At 36.9% G+C, this 15,419-nt stretch overlaps 1 long non-coding RNA gene across 1 annotated transcript in view; it reads right to left on the bottom strand.

Annotated features, from left to right (window-relative positions):
* The window catches only part of LOC124904447 (uncharacterized), a 90,138-nt gene extending 74,939 nt beyond the window's left edge, over positions 1-15,199 (bottom strand). Inside the window, exon 1 of the long non-coding RNA XR_007066704.1 lies at positions 15,039-15,199. This is a non-coding gene — a long non-coding RNA (uncharacterized LOC124904447). The remainder of the gene's footprint in view (positions 1-15,038) is intronic.
* Positions 15,200-15,419: the final 220 nt, after the last annotated feature.

Here is a 15,419-nt window from a genome sequence, read left to right as displayed (position 1 = left end):
TATAAAGACACATGCACACGTATGTTTATTGTGGCATTATTCACAATAGCAAATACTTGGAACCAACCCAAATGTCCAACAATGATAGACTGGATTAAGAAAATGTGGCACATATACACCATGGAATACTATGCAGCCATAAAAAATGATGAGTCATGTCCTTTGTAGGGACATGGATGAAATTGGAAATCATCATTCTCAGTAAACTATCGCAAGAACAAAAAACCAAACACTGCATATTCTCACTCATAGGTGGGAGTTGAACAATGAGAACACATGGACACAGGAAGGGGAACATCACACTCTGGGGACTGTTGTGGGGTGAGGAGAGGAGGGATAGCATTGGGAGATATACCTAATGCTAGATGATGAGTTAGTGGGTGCAGCGCACCAGCATGGCACATGTATACATATGTAACTAACCTGCACATTGTGCACATGTACCCTAAAACTTAAAGTATAATAATAATAATAATAAAAAGAAACTTCCCTATCATGTACCAAAAAAAAAAAAAAAAAACATGTATTTATTAAATGTAGTAGGTACTGTTTCAAATTCGGGTGCTTCAGTTCTCCTGCAAGTTGCAATCTGGAAAAAGAAACCAAGTGACAGATAAATAAACACGTAGATAAAATAGGTTCGTGTTAGATGCGATGAAAAAAAAGAAAACAAAATAATCACATGAAAAGTAGCTATTCTAGATAGGAGGGTCAGGGAAGGCCTTTTGGAGGAGATCTCATTTTCACAGAGTCCTGAATGAGAAGAAGCCAGCCAGAGGAAGATCTAGTAATAGAGGATTCTAGATCAAACCAACTCTATTGACAATCCCTGAGGCAGGACATGCTAGGAGGAGTCGATGAGGAGCTAGAAGCCAGTTTGGTTGGAGTTTCAGTTATCGAGTATTGGGTAGACGGAAGGAGGTTGAAGAAATAGTAGGAGTTCAGTCTGGTTTTGCACACAACAGTGTGAAGAGTTACAAAAATAAAGGATATTTCTAAACATCATAAACCACATGTGCTTCTCATCTTGGTGTTGGCATCATTGCTGCTGCCAAGGCAGGGCACTGCACCTGGCCACAGGAATATTTTCAAATAGCAGTGCCAAATTCACCATAGGCAGCAGTTATCATCTCTCATTCCCTCTTTCCCTAGCACCAGAAAAAAATGCCTTGGATAGACCGGGGGAAAAGGTCTGAATATTTGTCTCCTTTATCAAATGCAACTTCGATTGACAGAATCCATAGCTATGTTGTTTATATGCCCATATAAACAATCACCCTCATTCAAGAAATTAAGTGACCACTCCATCACTTCCTGATGTGTATACATCAGTGTCATTGTACTTAAAGCAACAGGAGAGCTAAGGGCCAGTCAATTAAAATGATCATATGGGTTTATTTAAAAAGTAGGCAGACAGCAATCAGCTTGTTACGATGATGATGAAGGCATGTTTACAAAATACAAATGGAACTCTGATATGGGTCAAGTACAGTGCAATGAAAAAAATATTGTTTTTATAATCATTCTTAAAGTTGACTTTTCCAAAAGGCCAGTACTATTTTGCCTTATTTAACGATAAAGCATTCTCAAGAGATCAAATACATCTTCCACACATGTCTACAATCTAAACCAAAATTTTGTGTCTACATCTACCTGCATGGGAAACACAGTGAGAAAAGAAGAGTTTCCTCAGGGCTCTTTCTTCAATGGAACATACCTTGTTTATATCAAAGCCTTAAGTATTAGTTTCCAGAGCCTTGCCTCTGAATAAGAGGCCAGATAAACTGGAAGCTAAATAGTCAGGTGCCACTGACCAATGAAGAGTCCAACAAGAAGGACCCAGGTGGGAGCAGGGAGTAGAGCTTCTACTACAGTTCTGAACTTGAGCATTTGTCACCTTCTTTGTCACTAATCTGTCACTAATTATTTGTGTGAATGTGCACAGAATAGTTAGGTTTCAAGGCTCTAATCTTTACAGTGCAGTAAGAAGATCATAATCTCTTGAGCTCCCTTTCAGCTTTGGGTCTATGGATTTATAAAGCACATTAGAAATGGAGGTAAATACCCTGCCCCCCAAGAATACTGTGATAGAAGAAGCTCTCAGTACAACAGAATATTGGTAACTATTGGGTGGTCTTTGAGAAAGTCACTTCACATTTCTCTTCTTCAGTTTTTTTTTATTTTTTCATAGGAAAGGGGTATATTAAATCAATGGTCTTCTAGCTAAAAATAATCTTTATTCTAACAAACTTTTACACCAAGTTCAAACACTTAACATTTTAAAAGTAAAGCTGGCCTGATGAAAGTAGAGGCTAAAAACTTAAACCCCTTAACTCTACTGTTCTTGATGGAGCTGTTAATGCTAAGGGATGGCTGCCTATAATTTTACCAGCATCAAACTGATTTGCATGCAGTTTTGGGCAGCCATATTTTATAATGTAAAGTGAGACACACCTGTATTCAGCTCTGGTGTCCTGAATAACTTTTTCACAAGTCAAACCTTGATGCCCTTTCTAAACCCAACTGAGAAATGTCCAAAATGCCAAGTGATAAACTCTAGGACACTTTTACTTTCTACCTAGGGAGTGCCTAAGAGCACTCTGAGACCTCTTCATGACCCAGCTCTGTTCTATCTCTGGAAAAGGAAGAGAGGAATCTCCCTCTACTGGATAAACTTTTTTTCACAGGATTTATGACCACCCACTCTTGTGTCTGCAGGTCAAGGCACAAATAAAGAAGCTCTCTAAGGGAATTGTTATCAATGTAATGAGACTATCAGGGTTTTGGCCTATGAGGTTAAATGTCTTTGAAGACGCAAGGAAACATTTCAGAGAAAATGTTTCTAGCTGTGGCTATGACTATCACTCTTACAACAACCTAAATACAAATCTCCTTTTTCCTAATGAATGACATAACAGGTCTTGACAATCTTTTTTTCCCTCTCTGGAGCCTCGGCTTTCTCACATTTGAAGGGGATTGGCTCCATACAGGTTGCCCTCAAGGATTCCAGAGATTAAGAAGATAAGTGTCAGTAACATGCAAGTTTCTTAATAAAAGGGTGTTACAGGAATATCAAGTCCTATCATGATTCACAGAAGAATTTGTCCCCCAAAAAGGTTCTTGGGGATTAGTTAAGGTTCAGCTGTGTGTACTGAAGAAAGGGCAAAGGCTGAACCTCCTTGTTGATCTGTCTGGCTTCACTGTTACCAAGCAAGCATTGTATAGAATAAAGGGGCAGGCAATCTGCATGGAATTAATGACTCAGTTGTTCATTCAATACTGACATAGTGAGAGTGGAATGTTAAGTGCTTTTTAACAGTCATTAAGCACATTAGAGCTTTTATATCTTGGTCCCTTTGTCTATTACCAAGTTCCTAGTAAATAAAAATGCTATCAAAGTGAGGTGAAAAACACTATGGAACTCAAACTTTTCTTCTCCACCTGGGAGTGCTATAACTAGACTGCAAAATAATTGATTATAAGGGAAAGAAAGATGAGTTGAAAGTGAATAGAGCCCTACTGTATCAATTGCCTATGTGCCTGGCTTTTGCTGGAATGGCATTCCCTAAAGGACTTACAATTCCACAACCCCTCTGACCCAATGCTATTTGTAAAAACTGATTATCAAGACAGCCCCTGGTAAGGCATATCGATCAGTTAGTGCTGAAGTCTGCATCTTTGTTAAGTTAGAAAAATTTTAGCAAGAGATAGACACCTATACCCATACTCACTAAGAACTATATGTCTTAAGATAAATAATTAATATATCATGTAAATAAGTTTGCGATAGGTTCAATGTGAGCCAGACTCCTAGAAAATTTGCCATCTTTTATATTTTCTACAATCTTCTCACATCTTCTAGTGTGATAGAATTAATAGATCTGATAGAAACATACCTGCATTTCCTAAACAATAGAGTTGAGTAAACACTATTAGCCTGCACTTTATTGGCTTAGGTCCCCCCCTTTAACCCACATTTCTACACACTGACACTGCAGTAATAACAGATGATCATAGCCACACACCTGAAGTATAGCGATATCTTGAAGAGTCTTCTGAATTTCTGACTTTGAATTCGCTTTTGGTTCTATATGCATTTATGGTCTATAGAGGGTGAGCAGACTATGGCTCATGGGCCAGATTTGGCCTGCCTTCTGTCTTTGTAAATAACGTTTCATTGAAGCTCATCTATACCCATTCACTTATCTATTTGTTTATGACAAATTTTGCACTACAATGACAGAGTTGAATAGTTGAGACAGAAATTATGTGGTATGCAAAGCCTAAAATATTGACTATCAGCACCTTCTCAGAAAAAAGTTTGTCAATCTGTGGTCTATATTAATTTGGAAAATGGAATTCTGAGCATAAGCTGTGTTGTAAACAATGGCAGCAAGAGTCTGTTCAGCTCATCAATGCTGATTGTTCACATCTCATCTTACCTACATATCTAGTGATATCATGTTGGTAGCTAGAAATGAGCCATGGTGGGGAGTATTTATATCACAGCAATTGTGAAGCACTACCAATCTGATTTCTCTCCTGCAAGGAGCCATTTGATAAATATTTACCAGCACACCACTGGTAGTAACCTTCTATTAGTTACAACTTCTACTTATGCAGGATTAGACGTGCTGGCACCTGTGAAGAGGGTAGGAAAAAACAGTCTTGAATTGCTGACTCCACCCCTTCCCCATACCATGGCAGCAGCCACAAGGGGAAAAAGAGAATCTGTGCCCTTGAGGGAGGGAGACCATACCATCTGGAAGACTTAGCATTGAACTCAATGCTGCCCAGTCACAGTGAGAGCAAAGCTGTACTAGGTTCAGCTGGTGCCCACCCATGGAGGGAGCATTTGGACCAGCACTAGCCAGAAGGGAATCACTCATCCCAGTGGTTGGAACTTCTATTTCTTGGCAAGCCTCACCACCATGGACTAAAGTGCTTTGAGGTTCTAGGGAAACTTGAAAGGCAATCTAGAACACAAGGACTGCAATTCTTAGGCAACTTCCAGTGCTGGCCTGGCCTTAGAGCCAGTGGACAAAGGTGGCATGGGACCTAGTGAGACACCAGCTGAGGCAGCCAAAGGAGTGCTTGTACCACCCCTCCCTGAACCGCAGCCAGCATAGTTCACAGCAACAAGAGGTTGGGGCATCAGGCAGATTTGTGAGGCCCCATTCCAGGTCCTAGCTCCCAGATGACATTTCTAGACATACCCTGGTCCAGAAGGTAAACTGCTGCCTTGAAGGGGAGGATACAGTTTTGGCAGGATTAGTCACATGCTGACTAAAGAGCCTTTGGGCCCTAAATAACCAACAGCATTACCTAGGTAATACACTGTGGGCCTTGGGTGAGACTCAGAGATGTGCTGGCATCAGATGAGACCCAGCACGTTTCCAGCTATAGTGGCTACAGTGAAGGATTCCTTCTGCTTGAGAAAAGCAGAGGGGAAAAAAAGGGGGACTTTGTCTTGCACCCTAGGTACCAGCTCAGCTACAATGGGGCAGAGCACCAAGCAGATTCCTGGGGTCACTGAGTCCAGGCTTAGGATATTAGACAGCATTTACAGACTGGCCCTGGGCCAGAGGGGATCCCACCACCCTGAAGGGTGAGTCCCAGGCCTGGCAGAATTCACTGAGCTGACTGAAGAGCCCTTGGGCCTTCAGTGAACATTAATTGTGGCCTGGCAGAAATCCCTGTGGGCCAGTGGTTGTGGTGGCCACTGGGAGAGACTCCTCTGCCTGTAAAAAGAAGAGAGAAGAGTGAGAAGGATTTTGGTCTCAGGTTTGAGGGCCAGCTTACCCACAGTAGAATACAACACGCAAGGTAAATGTCTATGGTTTTTGACTCCAATACCTGGCTCCCAGACAGCATCTCCAGACCTGCCCAGGGTTTGAGGGAACTGAATGCCCTGAAGGAAAGGCACAAACCTTTCTGGTTTCCCCACTAGCTGATCGTAGAGTCTTAAGCTCTTGAGTGATCATAGGCAGTAGCCAGGTTGTGGTTACAGTGGGCCCTGGGTGAGACCAAGTGCTGTGCTGGCTTCAGATCTGACTCAGCATAGTCTCAGGGGTGGTGGCTACAAGGGTGCTTGCATCACCCCAAAATCAGGCAGCTCAGCACAGAAAGAGAGACTTCATTTCTTTGGGAGAAGGTGAGGGAAAAGAACAAGAGGCTTTCCCTGGTAATCCAGAGAATTCTTCTATATCGAATCCAAGACCACCAAGGTGGTATCTCTATGAGTCAGCATAAACCACAGAATGATTGGGCTTGGGGCATGAGTTCCTTAGAATACTTGGAAAGCTTTCCCAAAAAAGATGAGCACAGACTGCAAAGCCTACAATAAATGCCTAACTCAACAATGCCCAGACACTGATGAATGTCCACAAAGCATCAAGACCATCCAGGAAAACATGACCTCACTAAACAAACCAAATAAGACACCAAGGACCAATCCTGTAGAAACAGAGATATGTGACCTTTCAGGCAGAGAATTCAAAATAGCCATGTTGAGGAAATTAAAGGAAATTCAAGATAACACAGAGGAGGAATTCAGAATCCTATCAGATACATGTAGTAAGAGATTGAAATAAATTAAAAGAATCAAGCAGAAATTCCAGAGTTGAAAAATACAACCGACATACTAAAGAATGCATCAGAGTCTTGTAATAGTAGAATTTATAAAGCAGAAGAAAGAATTAGGGAAGCTCAAAGATTATTTGAAAATACACAGTCAGAAGAGATAAAAGAAAAAAGAATAAAAAAGAATAAAGTATGCCTACAAGATCTAGAAAACAGCCTTAAAGGGGCAAATCTAATAGTTATTGGCCATAAAGAGTAGATAGAGACAGAGATGGGGTAGAAACTTTATGCAAAGGGATAATATTAGAAAACTTCCTAAACCTAAAGAAAGGTATCCACATTCAAGTACAAGAAGGTTATAGAATGGCAAGCATATTTAACCCAAAGAAGGACTACCTCAAGGCATATAATAATCAAACTCTCAAAGGTCAAGAATAAATATTCCTAACAGCAGCAAGAGAAAAGAAACAAATAACATACAATGGAGCTCCAATATGTCTGCCAGCAGATTTTCCAGTGGAAACCTTACAGGTCAGGAGAGAGTGGCATAACATATTTAAAGTGCTGAAGGAGAAAAACTTTTACCCCAAAATTATATGTCTGGTGAAAATATCCTTCAAACAGGAAGAGGAAACAAAGATTTGCCCAGACAAACAAAACCTGAAGGACTTTATCAACACCAGACCTGTCATACAAGAAATGCTAAAAAGAGTTATTTAATCTGAAAGAAAAGGACATTAGTGAGCATTAAGAAATTATTTGAAGGGACAAAACTCATTGACAATAAAAAGCACACAGAAAAACACAATATTATAACACTGTAATTATGGAGTGTAAACTACTCTTAAGTAGAAAGACTAAATGATGAACCAATCAAAAATAATAACTAAAACAACTTTTCAAGACATAGACAGTACAATAAGAAATAAAGAGTAAAAACAAAAAGTTATCAAGTGGGAATACAAAGTTAAAGAGTAGAATTTTCATTAGTTTTCTCTTTGCTTGTTTATGCAATTAATGTGAAGTTGTCATCAGTTTAAAATAGTGGGTTAAAAGATAGTATTTGCAAGCCTCATGGTAACCTCAAATTGAAAAACATACAACAGATACACAAAAAATAAAAAGCAAGAAATTAAATCACACTGCCAGAAAAAAAAATCACGTTCACTAAATGGAAGACAGGAAGGAAGGAAAGAAAGAAGAGAAAACCACAAAACAAAACAAAATGGCAGGAATTAGTCTTTACTTATCAATAATAACATGGAATGTAAATGGACTAAACTCTCCAATCAAAAGATATAGAAAGTCTGAATAGAAAACAAAAACAAAACAAGATCTAGTGATCTCTTGCCTATAAGAAACACACTTCAACTTTAAAGATACACATAAAATAAGGGGATAAAAAAGATATTCTATGTGAATGGAAACCACAAAGAGAGTAGGACAAGGATACTTATATCAGACAAAATAGATTTCAAGACAAAAACTGTAACAAGAGGCAAAGAAGGTCATTATATAATGATAAATGGGTCAATTCAACAAGAGGACATAACAAATGTAAGTATACATGCACCCCAAACTGGAGCACAAATAACATACAATGATATATAAAGCAAATATTATTAATAATAAAGAGAGAAAGACTTCAATACAATCTAGAGACCTCAACATCCACATCCCGCACTGGACAAATCTAGGCAAAAACTCAAAAAGGAAACATTGGACTTAATCTGCACTACAGACCAAATGTGCTTAACAGATATTTACAGCATGTTTTATCCAGCTTCAGAATACCCATTCTTCTCCTTAGCACATGAGTTATTCTCAAGGATAGACAATATGCTAGGTCACAAAACAAGTCTTAAAACATTCAGAAAAATGGAAATAGTATAAGGAATCTTCAGACCAAAATGGAATAAAAGTAGAAATTAATCACAAGAGGAATTTTGAAAACTATACAAACACATGGAAATTAAACAATATGTATTTGAATGGCCAGTGGATCAATAAATGAAGAAATTAAGAAGAAAAATATAAAATGTCTTGAAACAAATGATAATGGAAAGACAACATACCAAAACCTATGTTATATGGTGGAAGCAGTACTAAGAGGGACGTTTATAGCTGTAAGTGCCTACATCAAAAAGAAGAAAAACTTCAAACAAGTAACCTAATGATGCATCCTAAAGAACTAGAAAAGAAGGAGCAAACCAAATCCAAAATTAGTAAAAGAAAAGAAATAATAAAAATCAGAACAGACACAAATGAAATTGTAATGAAGAAAACATTAAAAAGATAAACAAAATGAAAAGATAAATAAAATTTAAAAAACCTTTAGCACAACTAAATAAAAAGAGAGAAGACTCAAATAAATAAAATCAGAGATGAAAAAGGAGATATTACAACCCATACTGCAGAAATTCAAAGGATCATTAGGTGCTACTATGAGCAACTATATGCCAATAAATTGGAAAACCTAGAAGAAATGGATACATTCCTAGATATATACAACCTACTAAGATAGAGCCATGAAGAAATCCAAAACCTGAACAGGTAGTGAGGTTGAAGCCATAATAAATGTGTCCCAGCAAAGAAAAGCCCAGGACCTGATGGTTTTACTGCCGAATCCTACCAAACATTTCAAGAAGAACTAATACCAATCCTACTCAAACTATTCTGAAAAAACAGAGGAGGAGGGGATACTTCCAAGACATTGTATGAGGCCAGTATTTCCCTGAACCCAAAACCACGCAAAGATATATATAAAAAAAAAAAGAAACAAAACGAAACAAAAAAAACATCAGGCCAATATCCCTGGTGAACACTGATGCAAAAATCCTCAACAATATACTGGCAAACTGAATTCAACACCACATTATAAAGATCATTCATCATGACTAAGTGAGATTTATCCCATGGATGCAAGAATGGTACAACATATGCAAATCAATCACTGTGATACATCATATCAACAGAATGAAGCACAAAAATCATATAATCAATTCAATTAATGCTGAAAATGTATTTATAAAATTCAAAATTTCCTCATGATAAAAACCCTCAAAAGACTAGGTATAGAAGGAACATACCTCAACATAACAAATGACATATCTGAAAGACCCACAGCTAGTATCATACTGAATGGAGAAAAACTGAAAGCCCTCACTGGAACATAAAAAGAATGTCCACTTTGACCATTATTATTCAACATAGTACTGGAAATCCTAGCAAGAGCAATTAGACAAGTGAAAGAAATAAAGGGCATCAAAATTGGAAAGGAAGAAATCAGATTATCCTTGTTTGCAGATGATATAATCTTATATTTGGAAAAACCTAAAGCCTCCACCAAAAAAACTACTGGAACTGATAAGCAAATTCAGTAAAGTGGCAGAATGTAAGATTAACATACAAAAATCGTAGCATTTCTATATGTAAATGGTGGACAATCTGAAAAACAGTAATCCCATCTACAATAGCCACAAATAAAATTAAATATCTAGGACTTAGCCAAAGAAGTGAAAATCTTTACAGTGAAAACTATAAAACACTAATTTAAGAAATTGAAGAGGATACATACAAAAATGGAAAGATATTTTATGTTCATGGATTGAAAGAATCAATATTGTTAAAATGTCCAGATTACTCAATGCAATCTACAGATCCAATGCAATCCCTATCAAAATGCCGATGACACAGAAGTAAGAAAAGTATCCTAAAATTTATATAGAACTGCAAAAGACCCAGAATAGCCTAAGGTATCCTGAGCAAAAATAACAAAACTGGAGGAATCACATTACCTGACTTCAAATTATACTACTAAGCTATAGTAACCAAAGCAGCATGATATTGGCATAAAAACAGACACATAGACAAATGGAACAGAATGGGGAACCCAGAAACAAATCTATACATCTGCAGTGGACTCATTTTTGATGAAGGGGCCAAGAACAGAAATTGGGGGAAAGGTCATTCTCTTCAATAAATGACTAGGAAAACTGATATTCATATGCAGAAGAATAAAACTAGACCCCTATCTCTTGCCTTATATAAAAATTAAATCAAAATGGACTAAAGACTTAAATCTAAGACCTAAAATTATGAAACTACTACAAGAAAACATAGGGGAAACTCTACAGGACATTGGTCTGGGAAAAAATTTATTGAGTAATATCCTACAAGAATAAGCAACCAAAACAAAAATTGACATCAAGTCAAAAGGTTTCTGTACAGAAAAGGAAACAATCAATAAAATGAAGATAACACACACAGAATGGGAGAAAACATTATCAAACTATCCATCTGACAAGGAATTAATAATCAGAATATATAAGGAGCTCAAACAATTCTATAGGAAAAAAAACTAACAATCTGATTTTAGAATGGGCAAAAGATCTGAATAGACATTTTACAAAAGAAGACATACAAATGGCAAACAGGCATATATGAAAATGTGTTGAACATAATTGATGATTAGAGAAATGCAAATTAAAACTACAATGAAATATCCTTCTACTTCAGTTAAAATGGCTATATCCAAAAGACAGGAAATAACAAATGCTGGCAAGGATGTGGAGAAAAGGGAACCCTAGTACACTGTTAGTAGGAATGTAAATTAGTACAACACTATGGAGAACAGTTTGGATGTTCCTTGAAAAACTAAAAATAGAGCTACTAATGCTGGTAATAAGGTTTGGCTCTGTGTCCCCACTCATATCTCACCTCCAATTGTAATCCCCACATGTTGAGGGAGGGGCCTAGTGGGAAGTGATTGAATCATGGGGATGGGCTTCCTCCTTGTTCTCTTGATAGTGAGTGATTTCTCAAGAGATCTGGTTGTTTGAAAGTGTGTGGCACTTCCCCCTTCACTATGTAACCCTCTGCCATGGTAAAGATGTGCTTGCTTTCCCTTCACCTTCTGCCATGATTATAAGTTTTCTGAGGCTTCCCAGCCATGCTTCCTGTACAGCCTACAGAACTGTGAGTCAATTAAACCTCTTTTCTTTTTTTTTTTTTTTTTTTTTAATAAATTACCCAGTCTTAGGCAGTTCTTTATAGCAGTACGAAAATGGACTAGTACAGCTGGGTACATACCCAAAAGAAAGGAAATCAATATATTGAATGGATATCTACACTCCCATGTTTATTGTAGCACTATTCATAACAGCCAAGATTTGGAAGCAACTTAAGTGTCCATCAACAGGTAAACAGATAAAGAAAATGTGGTACATATACATAATTGAGTACTATCCAGCCATAAAAAAAGAATTAGATCCTGTCATTTGCAACAACATGGATAGAGCTGAAGGTCATTATGTTAAGTGAAATAAGGCAGACACAGAAAGACAAATTTTGCATGTTCGCACTTATTTGTGGGAGACAAAAATTAAAACAATTGAACTTGTGGAGATAGACAAGAATGGTTATCAGAGGCTGGGAATGATAGTAGGGGGTGTAGAAAGAGGAGTAGGGATGCTTAAGGAGGTCAAATGTAGTTAGAAAGAATGATTAGGGCCAGGAGCAGTGGCTTACGCCTGTAATCCCAGCACTTTGGGAGGCCGAGGCCGGTGGATCACCTGAAGTCAGGAGTTTGAGACCAGCCTGGCCGACATGGTGAAACCCCGTCTCTACTAAAAATATAAAAATTAGCCAGGCGTGGTGGCGTGCACCTGTAGTCCCAGCTACTCGGGAGGCTGAGGCAGGAGAATCACTTGAACCCAGGAGACGGAGGTTGTAGTGAGCCAAGATTGCACCACTGCACTCCAGTCTGAATGACAGAGCAAGACTCTGTCTCAAAAAAAAAAAAAAAAAAAAATGAATTAGACCTAGTATTTGATAGCACAACAGGGTGAGTATAGTCTATAATAATTTTATTGTACACTTTAAGAATAACTAAAAGAGTATAATTGGATTATTTATAACACAAAGTATAAATGCTTAAGATGACAGATTTACATTTACCATATGATTAACATATATTACATGCCTGTATCAAAATATCTCATGTATCCCATAAATATATATGCCTACTATGTACTCTTAAAATTAAAAAAAAATCATTATGTATTATTAAAAATCTTGGTTGTAATCAAATCCAGAGTAAACCATCTTACACTAAAAGGGAAATATATTACGAGGAGAAAAGTGTATCTCCGAGAAAATCCAATTTTAGAAATATAGCTAGACATCAAAGAAAATAATATAACCAGGGACTTCAACTTTGTCAAAACAAATTTTCTAATCCATCAAAAAGAAGGGGTAGGTTCTAAATACAGCTGTGTACAGACCCTAATTTCACAGGGAAAACAAACATATAAACTCTGACAAAAATAAATAAAATAGCAATTTGGTGATCCTGGGGAGAGAAAAAAAGCAAACAGATTCTGAGGATAAAACATATTTTTGAAGAGAAACCAGTGTAGAGTGATTTTCTTGTTGTTATAGGTTTTATCCTGTTGGGATGGCCAGAGACAGTGCTGCAATTGGCAGCTAAAACACCTATGGACAACCAGAGTCTTTCTGGCCCAAAGAATCAGAAGCCAGAGTTTTGGCTAAGAACTGAAAACTGACGGGGAAATTCAGAAAAGAGAGAGCCAGAGAGGAAAAACTTCTAAATTTGGTATATAATCTCTTCCTAAATCTCTGGCTGTCCTCTGAACCATACATGCAGGAAGTTGATTCACAGCAACTCAGATAAAAGCAAATGATCTGAACTAAGATTAGAATAGCTATCCCAAACACAAAAATTTGAATTTGAATTCAACCCATTTAATTGGCTGCTAAAGCAAAAACATCAACACTTTTAAAAAGTCTACAACACCAACCAGAGTTGATACAAGATAATATGTATAACGGTTGGAATGCACTTCAAATTAATTGAGATGCACAGAACTAGGAAAATGTGACTCAGTCTCAAGTAAAAATACAAATGACTGGGACCAACCACTTAATTATTCATAATTTGAATTAGAAAATAGAATTTTAAAGTAGCTACTGCAACTCTCTTCTGGCCATCTGCTTCATTCTCTGTCTTCTCTTTTTCTTGACTTCTCAGACTACAGTTAAAAAATATGTTAACTTTTTAATAGTATCCCATAGGTCACTGAGACTGTGTTTTCCCCCTCCTCCAATACTATAAATTGTTTTCTTCTTAGATTAAATAATTTCTGTACTCCTTTTATTTTCACTGACTTGTTTTTATTTAATCTCCATTATGCTTATAAGTCCTTCTAGTGATTTATTTTTTTACTTTAGATATTCTTTTAATTCTGGGATTTCTATTAGGTTTTTAAAAAATGTTTCTTTTTCCTTTCTTGAGATTTTCTATCACACAATTCATTGTCAATGTATTTTTTCTTTAAAGTGCTAAATAAAAAAAAAACCTGTTTACCTAAGCTCTATATCTAACAAAAATACTATTTAAGAATTAATTTGAAATAAAGGCATTTTCAGATAATTAAGGAGAAAATTTGTTGTAAGCATAGCTGCTTTACAAGGAAAGGAAAAAAACATTCTTCAGACTCAAGGGAAATAATAGGAACAAATCTAAAACTAAATTTCTATGGAAATATAAAAGACTACTTTGTGTTATAATTTTATTAAATTATTAGACATATTTTTTCATAATATTTTACTAAACAGCATTGCCTTCTAAGGATTATGAAGTATATAGATTTCATACCTGCAACAAATATAGAACTAAGAATTGAGGAATGATAAGTAGGCTGCTATAGTTATAAGGTTTCTACAGTTTACACAAAATTGTACGGTATAAACTTTAATTAGGCCATGAAAAGTAAAATATGTATGTTATAATGCTAATAGGAACCACTAAAAGGAAATAAAGGTTGAATATCCCTTATCCAAAATGCCTGGGACCAGAAGTGTTTTAGATTTCTTTTTTTTTTCAGATTTTGAAATATTTGCATTATACTTACTAGTTGAGCATTCCAAATCTATGAATCTGAAATCTGAAATGCTTCAATGACCATTTCCTTTGAGGGTCCAGTCAGTGTCCAAAAATTTTGGGTTTTGGAGCTTTTTAGATTTGGGATGCTCAACCTGTGGTTAATAATGTAAAGAGAGGATTTCTGCTTTTAGTGATCAGTAAAATACTAATGAACCCATTCATCTTCAGATAATACTATAAACTTTGGACATATATTAATACAAAAGGAGGCTATCTGAAAGCACTGAAAGTGAACAGAAATAGCTTCTGGTGGGGTATCCATACTTAGAGGAGGGTAGTTGTTACCACACTTAGTATGAAGGCAGGCACAGTCAAAATGGTGTAGGTGTTGGAGGTAACAATAAAAAATAATTACAGGTTTTCTTGCTTGTGTAACCAGAGGACCAAGGCTGAAAAACTGGCTACTGAAGTGAGAGTGGGGACATAGAATCCCTTGAAGGAAAGAATAGGGAGGAGATTTCCAAATTCTGCTTGACAATCTTTGGCTTACCTCTGAATGATACATGGATGGAGCACATACTAAGAAGCTCAGATAACGCCAGGTGTGGTGGCTCACTCCTATAATCCCAGCACATTGGTAGGCTGAGGCAGGTGGTTTGTTTGAGCCCAGGAGTTCAAGACCAGCCTGGGCTACATGGTGAAACTCCATCTCTACAAAATAAATAAATAAATAAAAATAAATAAGAAGCTCAGATAAAGACAGAATATTTGAATTAAAATGGAAAATATCTGGGCCAGGCGCAGTTGCCCACATCTGTAATCTCAGCACTTTGGGAGGCTGAGGAGTGCAGGTCACTGGAGGTCAGGAGTTCAAGACTAGTCTGGCCTATATGGTGAAATCTTGTCTCTACTAAAAATACAGAAATTAGCA

This window comes from Homo sapiens, chromosome 1 (assembly GCF_000001405.40).
Source record: "Homo sapiens chromosome 1, GRCh38.p14 Primary Assembly".
In the NCBI taxonomy this organism is placed as follows: domain Eukaryota; kingdom Metazoa; phylum Chordata; class Mammalia; order Primates; family Hominidae; genus Homo; species Homo sapiens.
The sequence above is the reverse complement of the archived record's forward strand: the minus strand, read 5'-3'. Positions and strand labels throughout refer to the sequence as shown.